We start from the raw sequence: 7,278 nt of genomic DNA on the forward strand, positions 1-7,278 counted from the left end.
CAGGAGAGCTGTCATATACATGTTCTCAGCAAACATCATAAAGAAGGTCCAGTCCCATTCCTGTCCCAAAGGCTGTTATCAGCTAAGGTCCCCACCCTATCACAGGACTTTAATTCATGCTGCACACCAGTTCAACAGTGTCAGGCCCCCAGCTACATGCGGGGACCCTGGCATGCAGGCTCCCTGGGATCACACCCTATTCCAGCATCTTGGTAAGCAAGACTATGCTGTCTTTGAGAGAGAACCAGGAAGTCAGTGTGGGTGCTACATATGGCACATCCTCGGCATCTGTGATATGGAAGTTGCCTCCACTTCCTGATTCTGGTTATCACCATCAGATACGTCAGGCCAATCCTGAGATGACTCTGCCTGATCCACCCCTTCAGCTGAATGCTCTGGTCTGGGTAGAGAAACACATGCTATAGGAGGCTGTGGGGGAAATGGGACAGGGAAAGAGGACTGGGGAAGATTTTCAGGAAGATTGTAGGACCAATGGCCCCAGGAAGGAACAGAAACAACGAGAAAGGAGTAGAAGATTGGCATTGGCTAAAAAGAGTCGGCAACTGAAGGGGTTATGAGAGATGAGGTCACCCATGATATCCCTGCCTCCCTGCAACCCTCAGGGTGAGGGCTTCTCTCCAGAGCCTGGAAAAGAGGAAGAAGCACCTTACCAGGTATCACTATTGGGTTCCCTCACCTCTGCCCTGCACTCATCCCCTTTTCTCTCACTTCCCGGCTTCCCGTGTTACAATCTATCTGCCCTAGGAGTAGAGCAGCTACTGTCCTGGGGGGTGGCCGCCCACCTGCAGCTGCTATCCTCAGGCAGGGACACTAGTGCCAGGGAAGAGGCAGCCGTGCGGGGCTGGGGCTTGCCACCACCACAGAGCTGACGGAGCTGACGTCGATATTTGTCCCCAGTGAGCAAGTAGAGCACAGGATCCAGGCAGCTGTTGGCACTGGCCAGGGGCCGAGTCACTTTATAGACCACGTTGACAATGTTCAGTACTCGGCAGTCAGCTTCCAACAGCCTGGCCAGGTAGTAAATGGTGCGGGTGATGTGGAAAGGCACGAAGCAGACAGCAAAGACAGTCAGCACCACAGCTATGGTGCGGAGAGAGCGGAGGCGAGAAGACGACTGTGCAGAGCCTGGCAAGGGCTGATACAGGCGACGAGCCATGAGTCCATAGCAAACAAGAGTGACCAGGCAGGGCACGCCAAAGAGCAGCCCCATGACCGCCGAGCTGAAGTGCACATAGTGGTCAAACTCTTCAGGCCGAGTGGTGTCATGGCACAGGACGGTGGTCCCTTTGTTGCTGGTTGTGACAAAGAACAGGTTGGGCACGAGGCAGCCGGCTACGACCAACCAAACTGCCAGGCAGAGAAGGCCTGCGAGGCGAGGGCGGCCCCAGCGTAGTGCCCGAAGTGGGTGGCAGATGCCCAGGTAGCGGTGCACGCTGATGCAGGTGAGGAAAAGGACACTGCAGTAGAGGTTCCAATAGAAAAGAAAGCGGACGAACTTGCAGATCTCAGTGCCAAAGGGCCAGTGGTTGTGGGCTGCATAATAGTAGATGAGGGTGGGCAGCGACAGCACATACAAGGTGTCTGACAATGCCAGGTGGAACATGTAGGTGGCCGTTGCATCCCAGGGTCGGAGGCGGAAGATGAAGAGCCATAGGGTTGGGGCGTTAAGGCCCAAGCCCAGCACAAAGACAACTGCATAGCTCACAGGCAGCAGGATGAACTTGAAATCCTCATCAAACCAACAGTCCAGCTCCACCTCACTGCTGCCAGGACCTGGGCTGAGGCCTAGGGATCTCAACAGGGAGGACTCTGTACTGGCCATGGCCCCCCTGGAGATGGGAAGGGGAGAAGTGAGGGTGGCAGGATTTCCCTGCCCACCCCCATCCCTGAGCTGGAGCAAAAAAAGTAGAGCAGGGAGAGCAGTGGTTGAAGCACTAGGGAGAGCTGACAGAAGCGCATCTGGGTGCACTCAGGCTAGCCTGGCCCCTACCCAAGCTCCCTTGGTCCAGCTTGGGAAGTGGTGGGCAGCAGGCAGTGCTGGGGCTCAGGCAGGCAGCCCGTGTATTTGGGTTGTACTCACTCTGCAGCTCACTCTGTCCCTAAGAGCCTGGCTGGCTGAAGAGGGTGGAGGCCTCCCAGCACTATCCAAAGTGGGAAGATACCCAGACCCAAAGTGTCTTCTGACTCGTCATCACAGCTATATCCCTGGAAGAGGAGTGTCTCTCCCCACAGTGCCTTCGCCTCTCCTAGTGCCCTGGTCACAGTGTCTCCAGATGACATTTACCTATGACACCTTCCCCACTGCCTGCCTACAGCCCAGGAGCCCCATTGCCACCCTTGCCCAAGAACGTTGGCACATCTCCTACCTGGTCCCCTTGAAGCTGAGCTCAGCTGACTCTGTCACCCTTCCCCTTGGCAGCCAGAGGGCATATCCAAGGAGGTGGAGTTGGAGGTGGGGCCTGTCCCTCCTCCCACCTGGGAGATTAAAAGAGTTAGAAAGGCCCTTTACGATGACCTAGTCCAACCCACTCATTGTACAGATTGGGAAACTGGGGCCCAGCGAGATTACTATTTAACAGCTTTGAAATGACTGCAGGAGGGAGAACACGAGGAAACATCCAAGTTTACTGATGAAGAGCCAGGTCCCTGGAGATAGATTACAGGGGGATCATACAAGCCTGTGTAAGTGAGCAGAAACATGGGAAACGAATTTTCACATGGGCAAGTGCAAGACAACACATTGAAAGATTTTAGAAAATCTAAACTACTGATATTTAATATAAATCTCATATGCATATAATTACAAAGAATGCTTATATAGCACTTACTATGTGACAGGCATTTTTCTAAGTGCTTTATACTTATTAATGACCCCATAGGCTCTCTATGAGCTAGATACTATTATTGTCTCTGCTTTGCTGATGAAAAAATGAAGGCACAGAAAGTTTAGGTGTCTTGCTAGTTAGTGGTAGAGTCAAGATTTGAACCAAGACAGGCCTGCCTTTGGATCAGGCTCTAGCATCCATAACTTAATTGCTATGCTTAAGTTGCCTCTCTAAGCCACTGGCTATGATCCAGGAAAGAATCAACAAATATTTATGGCAGACAGAGGCAGGCAGATCGCTGGAGCTCAGGAGTTCAAGACAAGCCTGGACAACGTGGCAAAACCCTGTCTCTACAAAAAATTAGTCGGGCGTGGTGGCATGCACCTGATGTCCCAGCTACATGGGGGGCTGAGGCAGGAGGAGTGCTTGAACCTGGGATGTTGAGGCTGCAGTGAGCTGTGATCGCGCCACTGCACTCCAATCTGGGTGACAAAGTGAGACCCTGTCTCAAATATAAATAATTTTTTTAAAACCACGAATATTTACTGAGAGCCTACTTTTGCCTGGTCCAGTTCTAGTTACTGGTAGTTCCTTAGGAGTGGACAAAATAGATAAAAACTCCCACCCTAATGGTGCTTACATACTACTGGGGGATAATAAAATTAATAAGTAAAATATGTAGATTGTGATCATCATTATGGAGAAAAATTAAAGAGGGAAGGAAAAGGGTAATAAAGAGGGAAGGAAAAGGGTAATAGAGAGGGTTGTTGTTTTAAATATTAGGAATGAAACCAGGCACAGTGGCTCACACCTGTAATCCCAGTGCTTTGGGAGTCGGAGATAGGAGGATCACTTGAGCCCAGCAGTTTGAGGTTGCAGTGAACTATGGTCAGACCTCTGCACTCCAGCCTGAATGACAAAGCAAGACCCTGTCTATAAGTAAATAAATAAATATTAAGGGTGACTTTTGAATAAAGGCCAGGTGTTGTGAGAAGGGGAAAAGTAAAAAATGAGGTCAGAGAGTTTGGCAGGGACCAGATCATGAAGGTCCTTGGAGGCCATTGTAAAGGACTCTTTGGTGAACGGGAAGGCACTTAGGGTTTAGAGAAGAGAGGTGTCATCTGACTTACATTTTAGAAGGCTCACTGGCCAGCTCTATATTGAGAATAGACTGCAGGGCTGGAGGTACAGGGGGAAGACCAGTCAAGAGGCTATTGCTGATAGAGATGATGGTAGCTTGGATCACAGTGGTGGAGATGATGAGAAGTGGTCAAATTCTGGATAGACTTTTTTAAGTAGGGACAGCAAGATTTACTGATGTGGGGTATAAGAGAAAGAAGAGTCAAAAATTACTCCAAAATGTCCGGCCTGAGCAACTGGAAGAATAGAGTTACTGTTGACAGAGACAGGAGTGGGTTTAGGGGAAAGATTGGGAGTTCACTTTTCAGCCTGTAAATTTTGAGATGCCTATTATACATGTAAGAGGGGATGGCCAGGAGACAGTTCATGCCTCCTTAAGGATACCAGCCAATACATTTCCCATACAGACTCTACCCCTTTCTATACAGTACCCCTCGTCTCTCTTGATCACTCCCAGAGACTTGGTCTGAATATAGTGGAGAAGGTGCAGAGAGCAAGCCTAGATGTTTGAGAGCCTGGTGTAGGGAATTGCCAGCAGCTCAGGATCTGGGGCTCCTGAAGCCAACTAAGCCTCCGTAAGTATATCTTAGGCACTAGAGGCAAACCCGGTCTGGAGGACTCTGAGGATGAGGTAAGCAGTGCCTTTGGGGAGGGGTGAGCAGGCTGGAGCAGAATCCACTCTGCATGGAGCTGAGAAGCAATGGGGACTCTGAACTTACTTGATCCTCAGGTCCTGAGAATGTCACCCAGCTGGATCCTGGGAGTGAGAGGAGGAGGCGGACTTCTAGAATCTAGAATCTAGATCTCTCGGAAAGCCCAGAAACCTGGATGGGGAAACTGAAGATCCTTGCCCTGTGGCAGAGTAAAGGGTGGAATAAAAGGTAGCAGTGGAGGACACAGTCATAACCTGAGTCCTGGACAGCTGACTACTGTGACATTACATAAGAGGCCCAAGTTTTTGAAGCCAGACGGGCTGGTGTTTAAATCCTTGCTCTTCCACTTATTAGTTATGTGAGCCTGGGCGCCTCTTTGTAACTTCCATTCTTCACCAGTGAAATGGGAATAATAATAATACCAATCTTTTAGGGTTTCCTGAATATTGAATTGGTTAACAGGTGTGGAGCACTTTGTGAACCATAAAATGCTGCAAGTTTAGAAGGTGTTTTTTGTTACTGCTTTGCTCCCAGGAATGAACCTGGCCTCTGCAGAGGTGGACAAGCGTGTTTTGAAGTTTGGTGTACACCCAAGGAGAAGCACTACACTAGAGAAGCCCCAGCCTGAGCCAGCTTCCTGCTCCTACTGCTTCAGGCTGGTTTACCTCTGCTACATTTCTCCTGACTTAGCTCTGCTACGTTTCTGCATGTCCCGACACAGCTGCAGCTGCTGCTGCTGCCACCACTGCCGCCCAGTGGCTATTTCAGGAAAAGACCTCTCCCAACCCTCCCCAACCGGCACACCTGCCTGGCTTTTACTGTCCTCACCCAGGGCCAAGAGGAACGGAATGCAGCAGATCAGCCTCACTCTCTTCTGTGAAACTCTTCTTTACTTTGGTTCCTGTGACTTTGCTTTACTCCGGTTCTCCTCTTCCTCTGGATGTTCCTTCTGGCCCCTTCCCTGGCTCTTTTTTCCCCTACTTCCCCAACATGTGAGCCTTCCCCCAAAGATCCTCTCCTCTCCTCTCTCCTCTCCTCTCCTCTCCTCTCTCTCCCTCTCCACCATCTCTCTCCCCCTACCCCCACCCTCTCTTCCCCTTCTCTCTTGGAACATCCACTCTCATGATTTCAACTATGACTCAGAGGTTATCAAAAATTGTAATGGCCAAGAGACTCCAGCATACAGATCTCTCTCTAATCAAAATGCATCTCTCCTTCTCTCACACTCTTATCACATTTGATTTCTACAGAGATGGCACATACCACAGGCAGCCTAGAATTATACTCATTTGTGTTTTTGGCCATCTCCTCCTGATCCTCCCACCCCCATACCAGAACCAGAGCTCCTTGAGAACATGTACCTCATTTTACCTCTGTCTTTCCCATAGCCTTCCAGGTAAAGTTATTATAACATATGTTCTAGATATTTCCTTTCAAATTATATTCTCTGCTGTCCCCCAAAAAATGCCTTCCAATTCAGAGTTAAGAAAACAAGTACCTTCCACATAGTACATGTTCAATAATAGTTGTTGAGTGAATGAATGACTTAATTATAATTTGTTGAACTGAATGGTTCCCACATCTATAATCTAAGCCCTATATATGTTGTTTGCTATAGGACACACACACTTGGGTATCTCATTGATGTCTGGAATTTAGTATGCAGGAAAAGTTTACTATTTTTTCCCTGACAGAGATAAATAAGATGTACAAATACCATTATTGCTGACACCCTTCCATTGCCCTACTCCTCCAGTTTGTTCCAGTCCTCTCCCTCCTGGCCCTTCACATCTAATATTCGTAATTGTCTTGATGACAGTTTCTTTGCAAGGTTTGCTGTTTCCTTGGGGCTTTAAGAAGGAAAGGGGGAAGAGGCATGATTTCTAATCTCTTTATCTGAGTTAGGAGGAAAGGAACGAAGGAAGGGAGAGAAGGAGGGAAGGAGGGAGGGAGGGGAGAAAGGAGGAATAAAGGTAGGAAGGGAGGGAGAGGGAAGAAAATGAGGGAGGGAAGGTAAGTGATATAGTGGAAAAAATGCAGGCTTGGAGTCAGACAGACCTAGGGTTGAACTCTGGCTCCATCGCCTGCCGGCTATGACTATGGATAAGTCTTTCTGAACCTCCATTTCCTCATATGTAGAATGAGGATGCTAGCACCTAGCTTGTTGTGAGAAGACAATGAAGCAATGCATGTAAGGAACCCAGCAGAGTGCCCTCATTGTCGTTATTGAGAATTAAAGTATACGTGTATTTGGAAGGTGTGAGGTCCACTCCAATTGGCTGAATTTTCTTTATGAAGTGAACAAATGGAATTACCTGCTGAGAGTAAGTGGAACACGAAAGTCACTCAATCTCAATGGAAAGGAGTAGTGATCTGAAGCCCTGGATGTCTAAACTTACTAATAAAATCATTGGGAAGTGACTGGCTTCACATAGTTGTACACAAGTTAACTTTGTCCATATGTATTCTCTGTAGTGTGCCCTTTTTGTCTTTCTACATGTCCAACTTTATCTCCAGCAAGGCTGTTAACAACCTTAGAGTGGAGACCAGGACTAGTTTGTTCAGCACCTAGGACAGCACAGGAAATCTGTTTCTGCGATTTAATCCATCTATCTCCGTTCCGTCCTCCCCCACTGAGC

At 48.7% G+C, this 7,278-nt stretch overlaps 1 protein-coding gene across 1 annotated transcript, besides 1 other annotated feature; it reads right to left on the reverse strand.

Annotated features, from left to right (window-relative positions):
• P2RY4 (pyrimidinergic receptor P2Y4) lies at nucleotides 385-2,423 on the reverse strand. Its single transcript, NM_002565.4, has one exon. The coding sequence runs from the start codon at nucleotides 1,841-1,843 to the stop codon at nucleotides 746-748; it is 1,098 nt and encodes a 365-aa protein (NP_002556.1). The 5' UTR covers nucleotides 1,844-2,423; the 3' UTR covers nucleotides 385-745.
• Nucleotides 5,218-5,512: an enhancer, noted in NCBI's record as "tiled region #5483; HepG2 Activating non-DNase unmatched - State 13:Ctcf". NCBI's record gives its function as "activates a minimal TATA promoter and a strong SV40 promoter by Sharpr-MPRA in HepG2 cells {active_cell/tissue: HepG2}" and the evidence as "EXISTENCE:reporter gene assay evidence [ECO:0000049][PMID:27701403]".

The sequence above is a fragment of the Homo sapiens genome, chromosome X, assembly GCF_000001405.40.
Source record: "Homo sapiens chromosome X, GRCh38.p14 Primary Assembly".
Taxonomy (NCBI): Eukaryota; Metazoa; Chordata; class Mammalia; order Primates; family Hominidae; genus Homo; species Homo sapiens.

What these genes read in the sequence shown, in the direction of transcription:
- P2RY4 (NM_002565.4), bottom strand. Translation starts at nt 1,843, where the DNA reads ATGGCCAGTACAGAGTCCTCCCTGTTGAGATCCCTAGGCCTCAGCCCA.